General features: G+C 43.8%; 1 protein-coding gene across 45 annotated transcripts in view; it reads right to left on the bottom strand.

Annotated features, from left to right (window-relative positions):
- Positions 1 to 23,929, bottom strand: part of EVC (EvC ciliary complex subunit 1) — a 117,857-nt gene that overhangs the window by 30,615 nt on the left and 63,313 nt on the right. For 44 of the 45 annotated variants that reach the window (XM_047449774.1, XM_047449769.1, XM_047449778.1 and 41 more), the window contains 3 exons: positions 14,679 to 14,891; positions 4,726 to 4,835; positions 1,211 to 1,421 (listed from right to left, as the gene is read on the bottom strand). In XM_047449774.1, coding sequence (XP_047305730.1) covers positions 1,211 to 1,421; positions 4,726 to 4,835; positions 14,679 to 14,891 — 534 coding nt within the window. Of the gene's footprint in view, positions 1 to 1,210; positions 1,422 to 4,725; positions 4,836 to 10,753; positions 11,043 to 14,678; positions 14,892 to 23,929 lie in introns of those variants that run through there. The other variant, XM_011513419.3, reaches the window with a different exon arrangement.

The raw sequence follows: 23,929 nt of genomic DNA, 5'->3' as shown, positions 1-23,929 counted from the left end.
GGCTTGCAAAAATCAATGGATGAGGTTAGGTGTCTGTTAGGTGTCTGTGTCCCCAGAAAAAGGGCATTTATTGAGCATCAACTGCGTGCCCAGTACCATCTATGGCCCCTCACAAGATGGGGGGCCTTGCTCATCCTTCTAGAACATCATGAGACCTGAACACTAGCACTGAGGAGGACACGAAGGCTCAGAGAAGTTAAGTAACTTTCTAAAGTCACACAGCAGAGCCAGGTTTGAAGCCAGATGTGAGTCTCAGGATATCACAGAAGCTGAGGCAGGGCACACAGGGCTCTGAGGACTGCCTTTATTTGTAGAAATAAGAGAGAAAGAAGTGAGCGGGGCTGTAGCGAGGTCCGTGAGTCCTGCCTGCTCCTCGGAGCTCTCCTGGATAGAGCTTAAGAGACTGTGGGCTTGTGCCTCATTCATGGGTCAAAGAGCAGCAGCTGCTCCCAGAGCTTGGTGGCTACATGCAGGAGGCCTGGAGCCAGCCTACCTGGGTGTAACTCCCAGCTCTACAACTTACTAATTATTTCTTTCGATCTGTTATCACACTTCAAAGAGACCACAGAGGCCTTCTCTACCATACCCCCAATGACAACTGCACCTGTCCCCCTCTGATTCCGTATGGTTTTTCCAGTATATATTTCTCATTATATCAGTGATACTAAAAACTTTTGGTACATGGGTGGCCCCTACGGGGGCTCCACTGTCTCCACTTGTTATGGTTAAATTGTGTCCTCTCAAAATTTGTATGTTGAAGCCCTGACCCCAAGTACTTCAAAATGGGAGGTCAGTAAGTGGATAGTGCCTTTGAGGAGGTGATTAAGGTCAAGTGAGGTCATTAACGTGGGCCTTGATCCAATATGCCTGGTGTCCTTATAAGAGATGGGACACCCACAGAGGAAGGACCTGGAGGACACAGGTTGAAGACAGTCATCTACAAGCCAGGGAGTGCGGTCTCAGAATCAAAGCGGCCCTGCCCACACCCTGATCTCCGAATTCTGGCCTCCAGGATGGTGAGCAGGGAAATGTGTGCAGTGTAAGCTGCCCGGTCTGTGGGACCTTGCTATGGCAGCCCCGGCGAATGAATACCGCACCCTGCAGCACCAAGGGTGATAGGATTCGGGTTCTGGCAAACCTGCTGGAAGCTGGGGCCTGCTGCAGGGGCACCGCCTGTCTGGAATGGGTGGGGCCACCATGCTGGTCTTACCAGGGCCCTGAGCAGCTGCCACTGATGCTCGTCCAGGCACTGGGAGGACCCCTGCTCCAGTGCACGCTGTTCCCGCAGCTCCTGCAGGAGGTGCTTCTTCCCCGATAGCCGCATCTGCGTCAGGGTGGCCAGGGCGTTGCCGCGGAGTGCCAGCCTCCGGAGGGCTGAGCGCAACAGCAGGTCATGCCCCTGCAGGACACACCGCGTGGACCTTTGAGGAAAGCAGGTGAGGGGTGGGGTCAATGCTCTTGGCTTCACGAAGCCAGTGACAAGCTCCCCAAACAGCCACAGCCCACAAGAGGCCCCTCCAAAAGGAAGCAGGTTGGAATCACCGCCCTCTGCTGCCATCCTCTTAGGCATGGGTGCTCCCTGGGCACCACGCCGCCATCTGCTTGTCTATTAATCTTTTTAACCTCATCACATCCTGCCTGGCTGTCCAATGCATGTGTACAGCAGCCTATGGTATGCAGCCACTAGAATTAATGGCATGACTCTAAATCAGCACATCCAAAGCTGAAATCTTGAGCCATTTTTGAGTTCCTATTTCAGTGATTCATGTAAAAAAACTCAGCCTGCCAGAGAGGTTCAACATTTGGTTGTATAACTTGAGGTGTCTGCTGAGAGGCTGAGAGGTGAACAGAGGTCTGACAGTCAGCTGCCAAGAAGAGGCTGGCAAACGCTCCAGGCTTTTTGGTGGGTGCCTTCATCCTAGGAATAAAAGTCATTCCCCACTAAGACCTAATTCAGAATCAGCTAAATTCCAACATGGGTGGAGTGAATCTCCCACCATCCGAAATTCCTTCTAGAAGTAACATAAATCCTCTCTGGAAGAAGATCATATCATTTGAAGTCTTAAATTATCTACAATTTCTCATGCTTAGTGGTCATCATCCAATAAAAATACCCAGACGAGAATTAACTAAAAATAAAGAGAAAAACAGACAATAGAAACATGCCCACGAGATATCAGAAAACAGAATCGTCAGACACAACCTTTACACTAATTATGATTAATATGTTCCAGAAATTAAATGATAAGACGAAGAATTTCAGCAGATAACTGGAAACTATACAAGGAATCAAATGGACATCCTAGAACTGAAAACACAATAACTGACATGAACAACTCAGGAGATGGGTTTAGCACCTGATAAAATATGGCTGAAGAGAGAGTGGCTGGAAGATACCTCAAAGGAAAATATCCATGCTGAACCACGGAGAAGAAAAGAATGAAAAATACAGAGGAGCATGTAAGAGACATATGGGATAAAGTGGAAAAGCCTCAGAAATCCTGTCACTGGAGTCCCAGAAAGAGAGGAGGGAGAGAATAGGCAGGGGAAGATCTAAAGGGAAAACATCTGAGAATTTTCATAAACTGATATGAAAACCCAAATATATATCAGCATGAGGATTTACATTAAACATAAATGGACTAAACATTAATGCAATTAAAAGACACAGGTTTTCAGGCGAGACAAATTCCCCAATCGCTCTCTGTTGTCCTCAGTATGGCTCACCAGGTGTCCCTGGTCCGAGCCTACTTATGTTTCCATCCTCTTCTTTGTTTGTTTATTTGTTTTTGAGATGGAGTCTCACTCTGTAGCCCAGGCTGGAGTGCAATGGTGCGATCTCAGCTCACTGCAACCTCCGCCTCTGGGGCTCAAGCAATTCTTGTGCCTCAGTCTCCCAAGTAGCTGGGATTACAGGCACCTGCCACCACGCCCAGCTAATTTTTTGTATTTTAGTAGAGACAGGGTTTCACCATGCTGCCTAGGGTGGTCTTGAACTCCTGAGCTCAGGCGATCTGCCCACCTCAGCCTCCCAAAGTGCTGGGATTACAGATGTAAGCCACCACACCCAGCCTCCATCCTCTTCTGATGTTTCCCTTGTATTATCCAATTCCATAGCTAGACACCTGCTTCTTGATGGTATGCACAATTTGTTTTCTGCAAAGGGCTGGGCAACTAAAAAATAGTTATATTGATACCTGAAAGAAAATAAATTGAAAATAAATTCTACCAAAAAGACACATGTACTTATATGTTCATTGCAGTGCTATTCATGATAGCAAAGACACTGAATCAACCTAGGTGTTCATCAATGGTGGATTGGATAAAGAAATGGTATATATACACCATGGAATACTATGCAGTCATAAAAAATAATGAAATCATGTTATTTGCAGTAACATGGATGCAGCTGGAAGCCATTATCGTAAGGAAATTAATGTAGACACAGAAAACCAAATACTGCATGTTCTCACTTATAGGTGGGAGCTAAACATTGGGCACCTATAGATATAAGGATGGGAACAATAGACCCTGGGGTCTACAAGAGGGGGCCAAGTGTTAAAAAACTACCTATGGGGTGCTGCGTCCACTACCTGGGTGATGGGAGCTGTACCCCAATCCTCAGCATCACGCAATATACCTTTGTAACAAACCTGCACATGTGCCCTCTGAATCTAAAATAAAAGTTGAAAAATAAAACTAAAAAATAGCTATATCAAAAATTTTTTTCTCGACTGGGCATGGTGGCTCACGCCTGTAATCCTAGCACTTTGGAAGGCTGAGGTGGGTAGATCATTTGAGGTTAGGAGTTTGAGACCAGCCTGGCCAACATGGTGAAACCCCATCTCTACAAAAAATACAAAAATTAGCCAGGCATGATGGTGGGCACCTGTAATCCCAGCTACTCGGGAGGCTGAAGCTGGAGAATCACTTGAACCCGGGAGGCAGAGGGAAGTTGCAGTGAGCCAAGATTGCACCACTGGACACTAGCCTGGGCGACAGAGCGAGAGTCTGTCTCGAGAAAAAAGAAAAAAAATATATATATATATAAAAAATATATATATATGTATATAAATATAAATACATAAATATATATATAAGTATATAAATATATATAAATATATATAAATATATAAAAATATAAATATATAAAAATATATATAAATATATATAAATATATAAATACATATAAATATATATATAAATATATATATATTTTTCTCATAATGAAAGAAGGAAAAAAATACTTTCCAGCAAATTGGAAAGACCATATTGCACTAATTGTTATAGCAAAAATGTGAAAAATGAATATAAAAACTGATAATAAATTGGGGAGTGGCTGCAATTGGGCACAAGAAATCTTTTACAATTGCGTTGTAGCAATTTTTGGGGTGATAGAAATGTTCTAAATTTGGATTGTGGTGATGGGGTAGAACTCTGTAAAATTTACTAACAATCACTGAATTGTACTCGTAAAATAAATGTATGTAAACTATACCTGAAAAAAGCTGTTTAAAAAAGTTCCTATGACAGACAACTCTATCAAATAGATAGCATTATCCCATTTTATAGATGAGGAAATCGAGGCTAAGAAACGTTAAGTCATTTACATTCAAAGGAAGCTGAGGGGCAGTCAGCGTGCCCACTGTACAGATGAGGACACTGAGGCTGGAGGGAGCATCATGCAGGACACAAAGCCCTGGGCCTTCAGGGAGCTGTACTCACTCTTCAGTGAGGCCGCCCAGTCGGCCCAAGACGCCGCGGATGGTGCCCTCGTGGTCCTCCCGCAGGTGTGTCTGCAGCACGCTGGACAGCGCACACTCCTCCATCCACACCTGAACTCGGGACAGAGGGACAGAGCAGGCATGTGGTTACTCACTTCAACAATCCTGCTTGCTAGGATTGTGCATTTTGTTTCTTGTTTGTGTGCGTTTCTTTTTTAAATCCCTTTCTGCCCCGATTTCATTAACATTTTCTCTTGTATTTTCTTCTAAAACCTTAAAATCTTTCCTATTTGCATTTAGGAAAAATGCAAATACGAAAATTTTAAATATTCTAAATTGAAGTATCTAAAATTTATTTTCTGTGGAGTAAGGAAGGGATCTAATTTTCTCTGGATAAATGGATAACTAATTGTCCCAACAGTGTTTATTAAATAATTTATTTTTTTTCTGGCTTTCCTCTAACGCCACTTTGTCTTGTATAATTAACATATACACACACATCTTGTCCCAGCTTCTGTACTTTGTTCTATTGGTGTGTTTATTTCCGCACCAATACCATGCTTACTAATGTAGCAATTAAATATCAATGCAGCGAGGGTAGGTCCTGCCTTATCCTCTTGTTCAAAGCTGCCTGAGCTATTCTTGGTTGCTTTTCCTTTCATATGACTTTTAGGATCAGCTGGTCAAGTTTAGGGGAAAAAAGACTCTTTGGAATTTTCTCATAATTGGGTTGATTTTACAGATCAATTTGGAGAGAATCGCCATCTTTGGAAAACTGAGTTTTCCACCCCAAAACATGCCATTTCTCTCATTTTTCTTCATGCCTTCAATGACATTCTATAAACGTCTCCCTTAAGCCCTTATACACATTGGTCAACTTATTTTTAGGTACCTTGTGGCTTTTATTCTGAAGATGATCTTTCTTTGTCACTGGGTGTTGCTGGTATGGAGGAAATCTACTGGTTTGGGATACTGATTTCGTATATGGTGACATTTCAGAGCAATCTTCATAGTTGTGACAGTTTGTAGATCCTTTTGGCTTTTCAATAGAGACATTCATATTATCCATAAATATGGTGCATAAAATTCGATGTAGGAGCGTCTGCTCATCCTAACTGACTGTGTTGTTCAGAACAGATCTTTTCACGGCCTGACTTACGGTCTGATCGGTCTGTTATTTTCTGTGAGGTGGGGTATTAAAGTCTTCCATCATGGTTTCAATTTGTTTGTCTTTCAAGTCTGTCCAATTTTGCTTCATGTGTTTTGTGGCTAAATTGTTGTATGTTCCTCTTACACTATGCAATGACTCTCTTTATCCCTAAAAAAAGTTTTCTGCCTAAAGTATAATTCATCAGATCTTAGTATCATGCACTCTCTTTTGGTGGATATTTGCCTGGGATATTGTTTTCCTTAACTTGACTTTCTAACTTTTGATGATCTAGCTGTGTCTCCTGTAATGCCACATAGCTAGATTAGGAAATGTGTTTTTTAGCAATCTGAATGGATCTGCTAGTATTTATTGTGACTAATGGGATGCTTGGACTTATTTCCCACCATCTAATCTTGTCTTTTCTAGATATTATGAAATGTGCATTCTTCCCAATGTTTTTCTCTTTTATTGGATTCATCATTTTTTAGGTGTCTAACCTGCATTTTGGAATACTTTTTTCTCTACCTTGGAAGTCACATATTCTGCTTAGTTATTTTACTCTGTCAATGCACTGCACAGGCCATCAGAGCTCCCCTAAGGCTGAACAGATTGGGTTATCACTTGATGCAGCAAGGGAGAATGTGTAGAGGGGTTAGAAAGGCCCAGGTGTGGGCTGGGGAGGGCTTAATGAAGCCAGGCTTGGCTCAGCCAGGGCGGGGTGTCTGGGCATTTCAGGGGTGGGGAGTTGGACAGTGTTCACGTTGGGTCTGTGTTCAGGTATGGTGGCAGGGTGGTCTCATTTTTGGCTCCATCTTTCATGTAACAGAGGGGCCTCATCATGTGGATGCTCGGTGGTTGGTTGTTCAATAGGAGAACACCCAGGCCCAGCTGTGAGTAACAAGCTGGCTCCTGGATGGGAGGGGCTATTCTTTTCTCTCCCAGGTGATTACTCTTCAGTTTTTAAGTTGTATATTTAATTTGTAAATATAAAGTTCATACTTCTGCCCTCCTCCAGACTAGAAGGAGAAATAAGATTCCAGTGTTCTCTCTGCCTTCCTGGATACTGCTCTTCATTATTTTGGTTCTGCGCTGTTTTCTAAACTCTTCATCTAAAGCGCTCCTTTCTAAACTCTTCAGTTCATTGTTTGAATCATCAATGTTCCTTTGCCCAATATTATTTCTTATTTCCCTCTCACTCCCTCTGTTCTCACTTACTGTTTTGAAAATTGTCTATTTTATTTCTTCAGAATTAGATACCTTCTACTCCTATAGGATTTTGTCATCCTATTCTCCATGTCTCTTCTTCTATATTTTCCATCTCTTTAGATCTCTGAGCTGTGTTCCAGGACCACCTTCTCACATTTATCTTCTAGTTCGCACATTGTTTCTTTAGCCACAATTTAATCTGCTATTCCATTAACTAATCCAATTAGATTTCTGTTTTCATTACTATAATTTTCTTTTTTTCTTTTTGAGATGGAGTCTTGCTCTGTTGCCCAGGCTAAGTGATCTCCTGTGAGATCTCGGCTCACTGCAAGCTTCACCTCCCGGGTTCAAGCGATTCTCCTGCCTCAGCCTCTGGAGTAGCTGGGATTACAGGCACCCGCCACCACGCCCAGTTAATGTTTTGTATTTTTAGTAGAGACAGGGTTTCACCATGTTGGACAGGCTGGTCTTGAACTCCTGACCTCAAGTGATCCATCTGCCTCGGCCTCCCAAAGTGCTGAGATTACAGGCATGAGCTACCACTCCCAGCCTCATTACTATAATTTTCATTCATAAAGTATATTTTTTCAGTGTCTTGTTTTGTTTCACAGTGTCTTGTTTTTAGGGCTATTAATCTCCTCTGTTTTTAAAAGAACACACATTACAAAGCCCATTCTAATGAGGTCCAAGGTCACACAGCTAATAAACAGTGGGGCAGGAACTGAAATCTGCATCTTTCTGTCTCCAAAGCTCCAATATTTTCTAAATCCACCATGCTCCTCCCTGACGATCTCACATCACCAGATGCACCTAAGTCAGCAAGACCATGCTACAACCAAGGACTCCATCCTTAAGGTGAGAGTCAGTCCCTTTTCCATGGCTTTGTAAAAGGCTGTACCTCTGGCATCCTGGAGATGGCGCACGCTGCATTTGGAATGCAGATTAAACACAGAGGCCTGGACAGAAGCACTTGCAGCCTAGACTTCAGTTCTGGTGGATGCTGTGATTCATAACACTTGCACTTAACTCTCACAAAACTACACTGTGCTATCTGGAACATTTCATTAACTCCCATCTCTGATTCCTCTTGTAAGGAGTTTACAATAATCTATTGGAGTGCTAGGGAAACCAGAATATTCTAGAAAATTCTGCACAGTCATCGTTGTCTTTTTTTTTTTTTTTGAGATGGAGTCTCACTCTGTCACCCAGGCTGGAGTGAGGTGCTATGATCTCAGCTCGCTGCAACCTCCGCTTCCCGAGTTCAAGGGATTCTCCTGCCTCAGTCTCCCAAGTAGCTGGGATTACTGGTGCATGTCACCATGCCCGACTCATTTTTGTATTTTTAGTAGAGATGGGGTTTCGCTATGTAGGCCAGGCTGGTCTCGAACTCTTGATCTCAGGTGATCTACCTGCCTTGGCCTCCCAAGGTGCTGGGATTACAGGCGTGATCCACCATGCTTGGCCAGTCTTGATTCTTTGAAAGGTGAGTCTGCATTGCCACTAAAGTATATAGGGGTCTTTGCTGCGTGTTTTGAGAATGCAGCTTAAACTAGCAACAGGATTCGATGATGATCGATAAGGTCAAGATCTCTGGACCAGATGGTGCCTGCAGCTGTTACATAAACCTCTTCAGCATTATCAAATGCAGGCTTGTAAATGCTTACATTCAGAAGAGGTGCTTCCTCGGGCTAGAGTGCTGGTCATTGCTACCAGGTCATTTTGTGGCCTCAAGTAAGTTTTACTCTTTGTTTCAAACTCTCATGTATTATGGGGAGAAAGGGAAAGATCTATTGATTGATGCCTAGCATGTGCTGAAAGTTTGTTAGTGTCCTCCTAGAAACAGGGAGGGTTTTTAGGTGGGGTGGACTCTACAATCAACTCCCGAGGCAAACACTGGAGTGCTGGGGGTGAGGGGGGCATTGCAGTTTTAAACAGCATGGTCAGAGTAGGCCTTGCTGTGAAGGTGACATGGAGCAAAGACCAGGAGCAGGACAGAGTAAGGCAGGAACGTGCCCAGAAAGCCAGAGGAGTGCAAGGAACCACTGGGGCTGGGGGCAGCATGCAGTTGCGGTCAGAGGGCAGCCAGGGCCTGACATGGTGGGCTTTGCAGAGTGTGGCGAGGACTCTGACTTTCATGCTGTGTGAAATGAGAAGCCATTGGGGGTTCTGCAGAGAAGCAACACGATGTGACTTAGTGTTCCCTATCAAATCTATTGTGCTGACGACTGTAAGATGCCCAATTATTTCCAGTATCACTAACAGAGAAAAGTCACTGCCAATTAAAGTGTATCTTGATTTCAGGGATGTTAAAATATTTTTAAATATGTATCCTAAAAATTAGTGGCATACAGGATGTCTTAAAACAGGGACGTCCAATCTTTTGACTTCCCCGGGCCACACTGGAAGAACTGACTTGGGCCACACACAGAATGCACTAACACGAATGACAGCTCAGGAGCTAAAACAAACGTGAAAAAATCTCATGATGTTTTAAGAAAGTTTATGAATTTGTGTTGGGCTGCATGCAGCCTGTGGGTTGGACAAGCGTGTCTTAAACGTATCACTCTGGGTGGGGGTTGAGAATGGAGGTAAAGCAGTTGGTCAGCTGTTGCAGTAACCCAGACAAGAGTGGTTTTGACCAGGGTGCTAAGAGGGGAGGTGCTGAATAGTGGTTACATTCAGGATTAGACGGAAGGCAAAATCAATGGGATTTCTTGTCCACCGATGTAGGGTGTGAAAGAAAGAGGAGTCGAGGATGACCCCAAGGTTTTTGCCCTAATTTAGTAGAAAAATGGAGGAAGGCTGTGGGTAAGGCAGGTTGGCAGGAAGAGCAACGGCTGTTTTTGACACACCCATTTCTCATGTCTATCAATCATCTAAATGGAGACTTCATGTAGATCTGAGTTCAGGAATGATCCTGAGCTGAGCATGTAAATTTGGAAGCTGTTGGCTCTCAGTCCAACGACCCTTGAGGAACTGAAACCTGAGAGGGGGAGCCATGTGAGTGAGCACAGAAGTGACTCTTCTCCAGTGAAGCCTTCTGATGAGACTCCAGCCCCAGCCCAGGGATTGGATGTGGCCTTGTGAGAGGCCCTGAACAAAGGGCCCAGTTAAACTGTGCCTGGACCCCTGACCCACAGAAATTGTGAGACAATAAGTGCATGTTGTTTTAAGCTTCTAGTTTGGGGGTTACTTGTTACACAGCATTAGAAAACTAATACAGGTGGTGTGTGACTGGATGGGATCACTGAGACAGTGCATGTAGATAAAGAAGAGGACTGGAGACTGCACCCCAGGGCTCTCCAGTGTTCAGAAATTAAGGAGCTGGGAAGGGGCCAGCAAAGGAGACTGAGAAGGAGAAAGAAGTGAGCTGGGAGGAGAAGCAAGAGAGTCAAGCGGGTGTTTCAAGGAGGAGGAAAGAGACCAACTTGGCCAAACACCACCTTGTCCAGTAAGAGGAGGCCTGAAAGCTCGGCACAGAGGAGAGCAGACTTGGTGATGAAATGATGAAAACCACCCGGAGTGGGGTGCAGAGCCAGAGGGAGAGGAGAGTGAGGTGGGGAGCCAGGATTCAAACTCAGACAGACTGCCTCTAGCACTGGTGTTCTTTACTGTTATGCTAAGGAGTGCACCAACTGCCACATTCCCTGCCCCACTCCTACTCACTGGTGTGTTAGTTTCCTGTGGCTGCTATAACACTTTATTACAAATTTGTTGGCTTAAAACAACACTTATTACCTTACGCTTCTGGAGATCGGAAGCCTGAAATGAGGGTTGGCAGGTCTGCACTCCTCCCCGAGGGTCTGGGGCAGAATCCATTTTCTTGCCCTTTCCAGTTCCTAGAGGGCACTTGCATTCCCGGGCTCACAGCCCCTTCCTCCGTCTTCAAGTCCAGCAATGGCTGCAGAGTCTTCCTCACTCCTCACTCTGGCACTGCTGCTCCTTTTTCACTTATAAGGACCCTTGTGATAACATGGGGCCAAGCCAGATCATCGGGAGAATATCCCCATCTCACGATCCTTTGCTTAATCACATTCGCAAAGATTTGCAAAGTCCTTTTTGCCTTGTAACCAGACATATTCACGGGTTTTAGGGATTAGGATGTGGGCCTCTCTGGGGGGCCATTATAGCTGCCTACCGCAAGGGGACTGAGAGCAGAAATCTGCATTAGAGCAGATTAAATTTTGAGAAACACCATTCTACAACCTGTTCTAACGGGGTAATTCACAAATTCCATTAATTTTTAATAACTTCCCTGAGCAATGGGATATGAAACGACCCACTGTCTTTTTGGATAGAAAACAATGTGGGAAAGGCAATTTGTAGTCGATGTGTTTTTGATTTTCCATGAATAGCTTCGCTGGTGCTTTTCTTCTCATGACTAATATTCATCTGAATGACAGAGAGCTCATTTCTCTTTTTTTCATCAATGAGGAAATATGGCAGGTGGATCTCTAACTATCGTGTGTTAATTTTTTTTTTTTTTTTTTTGAGACGGAGTCTCGCTCTGTCACCCAGGCTGGAGTTCAGTGGCGTGATCTCGGCTCACTGCAAGCTCTGCCTCCCGGGTTCACGCCATTCTCCTGCCTCAGCCTCCCGAGTAGCTGGGACTACAGGCACCTGTCATCACACTTGGCTAATTTTTGTATTTTTAGTAGAGACGGGGTTTCACCATGTTAGCCAGGATGGTCTCGATCTCCTGACCTCATGATCCGCCCGTCTTGGCCTCCCAAAGTGCTGGGATTATAGGCGTGAGCCACCGCACCCGGCTATCATGTGTTAATTTAAGGCAGTTAAGTAATCAGTAAATTAACTGTGACATAGACACCTTGAGAAAACAGTCTTGGGTCATACTTATGTAATCAGCTGATGAGGTCATTAACTCTCCTGCTTGCTTCCTGCATGCAAAACTCAACCAGAAACCTTCCCCACATGCCAAGAAAAATTCACAATCGTATGCTCACAAAGTAAACAAATAAAACATTCAAAACAGAGCTGAGCATAGTCTATTTGCCTAAAATAACTTAAGACTCCTAACCAGAGAGTTTTAGATGAATCACAGGTGTTTTGTCAGAAATGAAATTCTGGATTCCTTCACTATCAATACCATTAAATGATTCAACAGATATTGTGCAAAAGGTCTTAACTTGCATTATCTGAATGGAATCATTTGGATATTGTGACCCTTAGTTTTCACATAGAAGGTGTAGTTCTGAGGCATTTTTAGCAAGTTGTGTAAAATCACAGAGTTGCAAGAGGTCAGCTCACTGGCTAAAGTCACACAGCCCATTAATGTGTCTGCTCTGGCTCAAACCCATATCTTAGGCTTCTGAGGTTAGGGGCCTGGCTGCAAAACCACAATGGTCTCTAAAAGGCCCCTACACTCATTTAGTGGGTCCACTTCAGAGGCCCATTAGGCTCACCTGGTTTCTGAGACACTGAGGCCCAGGTCCTCCTCCCTCCCCAAAGACTGTAAATGAATTGGTCTGCGGCCTAGGATTTGGAATGAATAGGAAGAATTCAGCTTCATTTAGATCCCTTCGAAGAATACAGGGCAAAGGCAACACTGTAATCATTTCCAAAGCTGCATTATTGTTGCTGGAAATGCTACAAGTTTTCCTGAACATTTACCATATTGCAGCCACTGGGCTTTGAATAGGTGGTGTCAAGATGAAAATCAGGGTTGCCGTCCTCAAGGAACTCATAGCCAAATGCAGGAGACAGACAAGTCACCTACGACAGGGCAACCGGATGCCACTGACAGAGGACTGAATGAACTAGAAGGAGGTCTAAGAATTCATTCGGGCAGGCAACTAGGCCCTGTGCCTGTCCCCACAGCTGTGAGTGGTCATGTGTTTGCATAACGCTCTCCTCTATCTACTTTGTACTTTCTATTGCCCCAAGGAATTGTTTTAGGAAACCTCTTTCAGATGGATGCATCAGTCACACTGGTCTTTTGTAACTAATCGCAAACCCAACTTAAAGAAACAGGGCTTGTTTCTGACAATAAGCATGTAGGGGCAGGCGGTTCAGGGCTGCGGTAATGGCTTAACAGCACTGCCAGGGGCTCAGGGCTGTCTGAGACTGCTCCACCATCTGGAGCCCACCAGGCTCACGCAGGCTGCCTCTAGGGCAGAGAAAGGCTGATGCACCTCCAGGCCTCCCATGCGTTCTAAGAAGGAAGAATGGGACACTGAAGAAGGGGGCTGCTCCAAGCAAAACCGGCTCTGGTATCAGGAAACAGAAGCCCTTTGCTTTGTTTCAAAGGCCAGAGCAGTGTCACTCAGCCATGGCTAGTTGCAAGGGATATGGATATTGAGGATGTTAGTTTCACAGCCTCTAGAGGGCCGAAGGCAGGGGAGAAAGGACTGGTGGGCTGTCTTGGTGGATGTTGAATTTGGAAATGCCTTCTTTAATTTAACAGTTTTTAATTTTTTAAAGATAAAATCAATCTGGGCTGGGCACAGTGGCTCATGCCTGTAATCCCAGCACTTCGGGAGGCTAAGGCGGGCAGATCACTTGAGTTCAGGAGTTTGAGATCAGCTTGGCCACCATGATGAAACCCCTTCTCTACTAAAAATACAAAAATTAGCCAGGCGTGGTGGCACGTGCCTGTAATCCCAGCTACTTGGGAGGCTGAGGCAGGAGAATCGCTTGAACCTGGGAGGCGGAGGTTGCAGTGAGCCAAGATCGCACCATTGCACTCCAGCCTGGACAGAGCAAGATTCCATTCCAAAAAAAAAAAAAAAAAAAAAATCAATGTGTATTGTATTAGTTTCCTATTGCTGCTGTTCCACATTGCTACAAGCTGTAGCTGAAAACAACACAAATCTGCTATCTTACAGTTTTGAGGCCAGAAGGCTGAAATGGGTCTTAATGGGTTAAAATCAAGGTGTCAGCAGGGCTGTGCTCTTTTCTAGAGGCTATAGGGGAGAATGTGCTCCTTGACCTTTCCAGCTTCTAGAACCAGCCAGAGTTCCTAGACTCACAGCCACACCATTCCGACCTCTGCTTAGAACATCAACCCTCCTTCTCTGACTCCCACCCTTCTGCCTGTCTCCTGTAAGAACCCTTGCAATTACGCTGGGCTCACCAGGATAACCCACAAACATCCCTACCTCAAAGTCCTTCACTCAACCGCACCTGCCTTTTGCCCTGTAAGGGAACACAGCATAGATATCTTTGAGGGGTCACGATTCTGTCTCAGCATAAATCCATGGTCTTAATAATCAGACTCACTGAAAAACAGGAGTCCTGTGTGCCGCTTCTCCCACCCCCACTGAGCCCACTCCCTGTGAACCCCTTTCCTTCCTGCCATTTGGTTGGCTACTTATTTCTCTCGTTCTAAAGAACAAGCTTTGCTGCTCTTCTTAATCGATCAACTTAAGGTATGATCTCCGACTTCCTGTTGAGGGAGATAAGGGCTCTGCTCTCTCATCCCACCCCTGTGGTGGGCCATTGTGAAAGGGAGGCAACAGTCATCTCCGTAGAGCACCTACAATAGGCACTAGTGGGTGTTCAGGACGTGAGATCTCTCACGCTTCTTCGTGTGTTTCTAAAATGCAGACCCCAGCCCCTGGGTTCCCAAATGCCCGCACCTGCTGGTCTTGCTCTAGGAGCTCCTGGAAGAGTTTCCACTGCTGCCTCCGGAAGCGATTTGACTTCCCCAGCTGCCAGGCAGCGTTCTCCTGGACTTCCTGCCTCAAGTAGTCACACTCTTCCGGGGGGAGGCCAGTCATGCCAGGGAGCGTCTGAAGGAACAGGGCATCCACGAACTTCTGGAAAGTGTCCACGGTGCTGAAGTACAGCTCCTGGAGCGGAGAACCACAGATGGGGTTACAGGTCACGGCAGGACCCTGTGTGGGGCCTGAGCTGCTCTCTGCCTCTCCTCCACAAGCCTCCCACAAGACACAAGGAGATCCACAGACAGGAACTCTCAAGTCACACGTATGCAAGCATGCATAGACACACATACAAGTAACTCCCCCACATGCACACACACTTGTACACACAGACAAGTAACTCCCCCACATGCACACACACTTGTACACACAGACACATGCACATGTACTCATACACATATGCATGCAGACACAGGCACATATACACACATGCACACACACAGGAACACATGCACACTTTCGTTCACATTTGATCCATGCACACACTCCTACATACATCCATGCATAGACAAGTGCACACATACACACATGAATCACACATAGACTCATACATACTTGCACACATAGACACACTCCTACACACACACACACGCACACACGCACAGCCTTGGGATGCACCCGTCACCTTAGAGCCCTCTCAACCCCACTCAGCCAAGCTTCACACCTGCTCTCCTCGCCAACCTTCACATCTGCTCTCCTTGCCAAGCTTCACACCTGCTCTCCTCCCACAGTGAGCTCTCTAACTCTGGCATCTCCTCAAAACCATCATTAGGGCCTCCCCTGGGTCACCATCTAGATTATTTTCACAATCCCCACTGGTCTCTTTGTCTTCCCTTCCACCCTCCATGCTTAAGTGAGTTATTTTCATAAACTTCACGTCTTATCATGAGTCCTCCTCAAATAACGTGGAAGACCTCTGTTCCCCTCACACTCAAGATCACCCAGCAGGGCTTCCAGGCAGCTCAGAGATGGCTCCGGCTGTCCTGCCTCTTGTCTTATCATTCTGTTGCCTTCATCCCCGCTCCCCCACCCCAATATCTTTCTAAAAATCATGAAAAACAAACCCACACCATAATAATAATATTAAACACCTGTGAATCCACCGCTCACATCTTTTTTTTTTTTTTTTTTTTTTTTTTTTTTTCATTTAAAACATGGAAGCGGGAGGCTGAGGCAGGAGAATGGCGTGAACCTGGGAGGTGGAGCTTGCTGTGAGCCGAGATTGCGCCACTGCACTCCAGCCTGGGCGACAGAGAGACTCCGTCTCAAAAAAAAAAAAAAAAAAAAAAAATGGAACCTTACAGATAGCTGCGCATGGTGGCTCACGCTTGTAATCCCAGCACTTTGGGAGGCTGAGGTGGGTAGATCACCTGAGGTTGGGAGTTGGAGACCAGCCTGGCCAACACGGTGAAACCCTGTCTCTACTAAAAAATATAAAAATTAGCCGGGCGTGGTGGCGCACGTCTGTAATCCCAGCTACTTGGGAGGCTGAGGCAGGAGAATCACTTGAAGCTGGTCCAGGTTGCAGTGGGCTGAGATTGTGTCACTGCACTCCAACTTGGGTGACAGAGAGAGACTCCATCTCAAAAAATATAAAAACAAACAAAAACAAAAAACATGGAACTTTACAGGTCAAGTTGGAATTCTTTATGGCTCCCTGCAATCCTTTTCCCTCCCTCTCAGCCTCAGACAGCCATCCCCATGAATGCAGTGACCCTCTCTCCAGTTTACAGGTCTCTACTTTCCCTGCATATCATGTTCATAAAGGTGGCTTTTGGTGTTTGTGTTCATTCACCCATAAATGGCATCTCATTGCATGTTTCATTGTGCAGATGCTTTTTGTTTTGTTTTGAGACAGGATCTCCCTCTGTCGCCCAGGCTGGAGTTCAGGGGCGTGATCACACCCTCGACTTCCTGGACTCAGGTGACCCTCTCACCTCAGCCTCCCAAATAGCTGGGACTATAGAGTGTATGCCACTATGCCTGGCTAATTTTTTATATTTTTTTGTGGAGATGAGGTTTTGCTGTGTTGCTCAAGCTGCTCTCGAACTCCTGAGCTCAAATGATCTGCCTGCCTTGACCTCCCAAAGTGCTGGGATTACAGGTGTGGGCCACCGCGCCCAGCCCAGAAGCTTTTTAAAGCCACTCCTTTTGCCCCATCTCCAATCACTTTTACACCCAGAATGGACTCCTCGCCCTGAAAAATCCCTCCAAAATAATCCCTTCTCTGGAGCCTCCCCTGGGCCACTAACATGGGCATTTCTGACCCCGAGCTCCCACCAGCTGTTTGGTTAGCCTACCAGGGTATCTAAGCCACAGTTTATCTGTCATTCCCCTAGACCACAGCTCCCTGAGATAGCGGCTTTGTCGCGCTAGGGTCTGCACCCACATCTCATATCCTCCCCAACCAAGCACGTGCTGGCAGTCCCTGAATAAGCCATGCCCCAACACAACTAGAGCACCCACATTCCCCTCTGCCCAGGAACTCTCCTCACATGTTCCAAAAATCAATTCGAGGTCTCCTTTTCTGGCAAGGCACTCTGAACACAGGGTCTCATTAGGTGCAATGTGGCTTAGCTGAACATCTGCTTTCCTTCCTGGAGTCTGGACTCTTGGTACGTGACAGGAAGGAGATGTGCCCGTATGACTGATCCCAACAGAATCCCTGGACTCTAAGCTCAAGATAGCTTCCTGGTAGACAACATTTCACACATGCTGCCACAACTCATGTGAATTAAGTGCATCCTGTGTGACTCCATGGGGAGAGGATTCTGGAAACTTGTGCCTGGTTTCCTCTGGATTTTACGCCTTGTAGCTTTTCCCTTTGCTGATTTTGCTTTGAATCCTTTCACTGCAGTAACTCTTAGCCATGGGTACAACTATAGGCTGAGTCCATGAGCTGTCTTAGTGAACCACTGAACCTGGTCATCTTACGGACCCCAGAAGAGGTGCCCCTCCTTTGCTGCTGCCCTTCCAGCACCCACCAACCTTTCCAGGCACTGGTTGTATGATTGTCCTTCTCATGGACAAGACCACAGAGTTTCTTCTTACCACCTTTGCATTTGCAGGGCCTGGCAGAGTCCCCAGAAAATGACAGGTGATAATAAATATAATTGTTAAGAATTACTAATTTGAGTCAAGAACACTGTTTTTGCATAATATCACTCAATCTATATAACAGTTCAATCAAGGCATTCTATTATAATTATTATCATTTTACAAATGAGGAAACTGAGGCACAGAGAAGATGAGCAACTGGAACACAGTTTACAGATGGAAGGTCCTGGCCATTGGACTCTTGGACTCATACCCTTAGCCAGTGTGCTACATGGATAATTGTTTTTTTAAAAGGAAAATAAACATATTCTCACACATACACTTAGTATGGTGAATGTACCTAGCTCATACTTGCTGTGCTCAATGGATATAAGTTAAATTTCATTCAAATCATGGTGGATAAGCTTTTTGATGTGCTGCTGGATTCGGTTTGCTTCATGCCTGGGATGCAAGGCTGGTTCAATATACGCAAATCAATAAATGTAATCCAGCATATAAACAGAACCAAAGACAAAAACCACATGATTATCTCAATAGATGCAGAAAAGACCTTTGACAAAATTCAACAACCCTTCATGCTAAAAACTCTTAATCAATTAGGTATTGATGGGACGTATCTCAAAATAATAAGAGCTATCTATGACAAACCCACAGCCAATATCACACTGAATGGGCAAAAACTGGAAGCATTCCCTTTGAAAACTGGCACAAGACAGGGATGCCCTCTCTCACCACTCCTATTCAACATAGTGTTGGAAGTTCTGGCCAGGGCAATTAGGCAGGAGAAGGAAATAAAGGGTATTCAATTAGGAAAAGAGGAAGTCAAATTGTCCCTGTTTGCAGACGACATGATTGTATATCTAGAAAACCCCATTGTCTCAGCCCAAAATCTCCTTAAGCTGATAAGCAACTTCAGCAAAGTCTCAGGATACAAAATCAATGTACAAAAATCACAAGCATTCTTATACACCAACAACAGACAAACAGAGAGCCAAATCATGAGTGAACTCCCATTCACAACTGCTTCAAAGAGAATAAAATACCTAGGAATCCAACTTACAAGGGATGTGAAGGACCTCTTCAAGGAGAACTACAAACTACTGCTCAATGAAATAAAAGAGGATACAAACAAATGGAATAACATTCCATGCTCATGGGTAGGAAGAATCAATATCGTGAAAATGGCCATACTGCCCAAGGTAATTTATAGATTCAATGCCATCCCCATCAAGCTACCAATGACTTTCTTCACAGAATTGGAAAAAACTACTTTAAAGTTCATATGGAACCAAAAAGGAGCCCGCATCGCCAAGTCAATCCTAAGCCAAAAGAACAAAGCTGGAGGCATCACGCTACCTGACTTCAAACTATATTACAAGGCTACAGTAACCAAAACAGCATGGTACTGGTACCAAAACAGAGATATAGATCAATGGAACAGAACAGAGCCCTCAGAAATAATGCCGCATATCTACAACTATCTGATCTTTGACAAACCTGAGAAAAACAAGCAATGGGGAAAGGATTCCCTACTTAATAAATGGTGCTGGGAAAACTGGCTAGCCATATGGAGAAAGCTGAAACTGGATCCCTTCCTTACACCTTATACAAAAATCAATTCAAGATGGATTAAAGACTTAAACATTAGACCTAAAACCATAAAAACCCTAGAAGAAAACCTAGGCATTACCATTCAGGACATAGGCATGTGCAAGGACTTCATGTCTAAAACACCAAAAGCAATGGCAACAAAAGCCAAAATTCACAAATGGGATCTAATTAAACTAAAGAGCTTCTGCACAGCAAAAGAAACTACCATCAGAGTGAACAGGCAACCCACAAAATGGGAGAACATTTTCCCAACCTACTCATCTGACAAAGGGCTAATATCCAGAATCTACAATGAACTCAAACACATTTACAAGAAAAAAACAAACAACCCCATCAAAAAGTGGGCGAAGGACATGAACAGACACTTCTCAAAAGAAGACATTGATGCAGCCAAAAAAACACATGAAAAAATGCTCACCATCAATGGCCATCAGAGAAATGCAAATCAAAACCACAATGAGTTATCATCTCACACCAGTTAGAATGGCAATCATTAAAAAGTCAGGAAACAACAGGTGCTGGAGAGGATGTGGAGAAATAGGAACACTTTTACACTGTTGGTGGGACTGTAAACTAGTTCAACCATTGTGGAAGTCAGTGTGGCGATTCCTCAGGGATCTAGAACTAGAAATACCATTTGACCCGGCCATCCCATTACTGGGTATATACCCAAAGGACTATAAATCATGCTGCTATAAAGACATATGCACACGTATGTTTACTGCGGCACTATTCACAATAGCAAAGACTTGGAACCAACCCAAATGTCCAACAATGATAGACTGGATTAAGAAAATGTGTCACATATACACCATGGAATACTATGCAGCCATAAAAAATGATGAGTTCATGTCCTTTGTAGGGACATGGATGAAATTGGAAATCATCATTCTCAGTAAACTATCGCAAGAACAAAAAACCAAACACCGCATATTCTCACTCATAGGTGGGAAATGAACAATGAGAACACATGGACACAGGAAGGGGAACATCACACTCTGGGGACTGTTGTGGGGTAGGGGGAGGGGGGAGGGATAGCACTGGGAGATATACCTAATGCTAGATGACGAGTTAGTGGGTGCAGCGCACCAGCATGTCACATGTATCCATACGTAACTAACCTGCACATTGTGCACATGTACCCTAAAACTTAAAGTATAATAACAACAACAACAAAAAATTTCATTCAAATCAATGTTAATTCAACCTAATGAATGCCACACTCTTAAGCTCATCGCCAACCCTGACTTTGGTCAGAATAAAGTGACCATGACAAGGGCATATGGAACCCACATTCTTTTAAAAGATTTAGAGATTATATTTCTGATATGGCTAACCAGATAACTTGGACCAATCTTTTCACTAGGGGTGAATGAAAAAGATAAGTGGACAAAATAATTATTAAATCTTCATAAAAGTTGCAAAGATCTAACAAGATTGTGATGAGTACATGGGCCAAGGTCTAAGAAGACACATCTGGAGGGGCATGCCCAGTCTTTGGGCGGCTTTTACCTAGGGAGTGTTGGTTGATTCAGAGGGGATGGCTGAACAGCTGAGCAGGTCCTTTGACAGCCTGACGCTGTCAGAGGACCGAAGTTCAAGTTCATTGTTCATTACGGGTGGGGGCCTGGTAAACCATTCCACACTTACAGTTGGTACCCAAAAAGCCATACTGGAGAAATATTAGTAAAATGGAAGGGAACCAGTCCAGACTCGTTATACAAACTGTAACCTGGAGTCAAGTTATTTAGATTGCCCAGGATATTTTAAGCCCTGACTTTGAATTAAGGTGACCCTGGATCACTAGAGGTGCTGATATCTGACAAAAGCAAACGAAAATCCTCTTTGGAGAAGGACAGTATCATTGTATACCTGAAAATATTTCTACAAATAAGTGTGCAAATTTGAAATATAGTACACAAAATATAAACAGACACATGAGGAGATAAGGTAACATGATCAAAGACCTACACAAACAATGGGCATCAGAAACAAACCCACAGGTACTTCAGAGAGTAATTACAAGTCAGCATGTAATTACAAGACATGGTCTTTAAAATATCAATGCTTACTATGCTCATGAAGCTAAAAGCCACTCTTAAACCTTTAAGCAAGGAGCTGGAAATTATAAAAAGTAACACTACTTAGTTTAAAAAGAGCCAACTAGCAGTTCTAGAATTGAAAATATTGTCTAGAATTGAAAAATATTAAACTCAGTGTACAGGTTTAATAGCAGTTTAGGTGCAGCTGAAGAGAGAATTAGCACACTGGAAAATAGATCAGAAGAAACTAGCAGAACAAAGCAAGGAGAGACTAAAGGATGGAAAATATGGAGGAAAAGATAATGACAGAGCACATACAATGGGAAGGTCCAACATGTTAAATTGGAGTCTCTGAAGGATCGGAGGGCAAGTCTGGGTAGAAGCAGTATTTGAAGAGATAATGAAATTTCCCAAACTGATGGAAGAAATTTACAGATGAGGAAACTGAGGCTTCCTCTTTACATGTAAAAGAGAAGTTAAATCAGTTGCACAAGTTTACACACAGCTCTGACAGTTGGGTTCCAGTGCCCATGACCTTGATGCTACTCAGGTAAATATTTTTTAAAGAATGAATGAGTGAATGAATGAATAAATGAACGGCCAGCACCTAGTAAACACAGGGTCACTTTTTGCTACATGAATAGCAGATAAAATAGTCTTTAAGAAAAAGAAAACAAAACATGACTAGACACAAAGGGGTCATTTCCTAATGCTAAAAGGTTTAATTCACTGGAAAAATGAAAAAGTTATAAATTTGTATGTAGTTAATAACATTACCAAATCAATGAAATTTGCCAAATTAACAGAATAAAGGAGAAAAATATTACACTGATTACCTCAGTAGAGGAAGATAAAAGCATTTTACAAAATTTAATTTCTATGCATGAGAAACACACTTAGCAAATTAGGAATGGAAAGAAACTTCCTTAACTTGATTAAAAAAAAACAACAGCTATATTACATATTATAGCTAATGGTAGAAACCACAAAGCAATATTAAGAAAAACTAAATTAAATACGACCTAAATAATTGTAGCAATATACCATGTTTCTTGATTGGAAGACTTGATATTGTAAACACATTAATTCTCCTCAAATTGACCTATAAATTCCAAATCTTAATCAACAACTATATGAGATATAAATTGAAGCTACACATATTCTTTAATCCAATACTTCCACTCTTTGGTATATCCAAGAAAAATATGTACACACAGCTTCTACAAGAAAGTTCACGTCAGCCAGTGTGTAATAGGCTAACACAAGAAGACTCCAAAGCCCATCACTAGTAGGATGGGTAAATGTATGGCAGTGTATTTATACAACAGAACACTCCACAGCAATGAGGAAGAATGAACTACAACATACAACCACACGGATGGATCTCTCAAATATCAAGTTGAGTGAAAGGCCAATGGGACAAAGCACATGCTGTATGATTCCATTTATATAAAGTTCAAAAACTGCCAAAGCTGCACAACAATGTCCAGGATGTGCTCTGAGATTTACAACTGTAAATCAAACTAGGGATCTGATTTCTGTATCAGCTGGATGATGGCTCCTGGGAGCAGGGAGGGTGTTAGGATGGGGAGGAGGCATTGGGGGTGTTCTGGGGTCCCAGCTACATTCTCTTTCTTGCTCTATATGGTTTCATAAATGTTTTACAATAATCATTTGTTAATTTGTAAGATTATGCTTTATTTATTCATATGTCTTATATTTCACAGTAAAAACACTTTCAATGAGTGGGGATGATGGACATTATTTTCTAGCCTCTGAGAATCCCAATTTTCTGCCAGGAGACAGATTTTTAAGTTGACTGTCATTCTTGGACTCTCCTATTCTACAGCAGTGGTTGGGACAAACCTTTTTCTTTATTGTTCACAATGGTCAAATCACAAAAATATGCGGGATTTGTAAATTAGAGAAGGGTTAGCTTTGTAAAAACAACAGGGTCCATTAGCTTAGGCTCCTTCTAATAAGAAATGTGCTGGATCCTGTCTGCTCCTTGGAAAGACTCAAGTCTGCGTTCTTTGTCACATGGTCTGACAGGCCATAAAACACATCACTTCCCACTAATGCTGGCATATGTCACTTGGGAGATACTGATTTATTCTGTGCCTGAAATAGAACCAGAATTAATTTGCATTATTGCTTTCCCAGTGTGTGTAAAGGGGTCAGGACACAGTGGAACTCTGGTGGGGAATAGAAGCTGGCCCTGAGCCTCATCCCCCAAGCTTAGGAGGCTATCCCCTCCCCCTCAAACAGAAGCACACACAGCCCAGGCAAATACAAACTGCTCACTTTGTACTTGCTCCTTCACTCAGCTGTCTCCTCTGCAGCCGCATTCAAACCACCACCTGCCCTCCCCAGGTTTCTCACACAGCAGGTACTTGGGGCAAGGAAGATACCCATAGTCTAGAGCTTTACAAAGCTTCCTTAACCTACTCAAGGCTC

The sequence above is a fragment of the Homo sapiens genome, chromosome 4 (assembly GCF_000001405.40).
Source record: "Homo sapiens chromosome 4, GRCh38.p14 Primary Assembly".
Taxonomy (NCBI): domain Eukaryota; kingdom Metazoa; phylum Chordata; class Mammalia; order Primates; family Hominidae; genus Homo; species Homo sapiens.
This window is presented reverse-complemented; position numbering and strand designations above follow the sequence as displayed.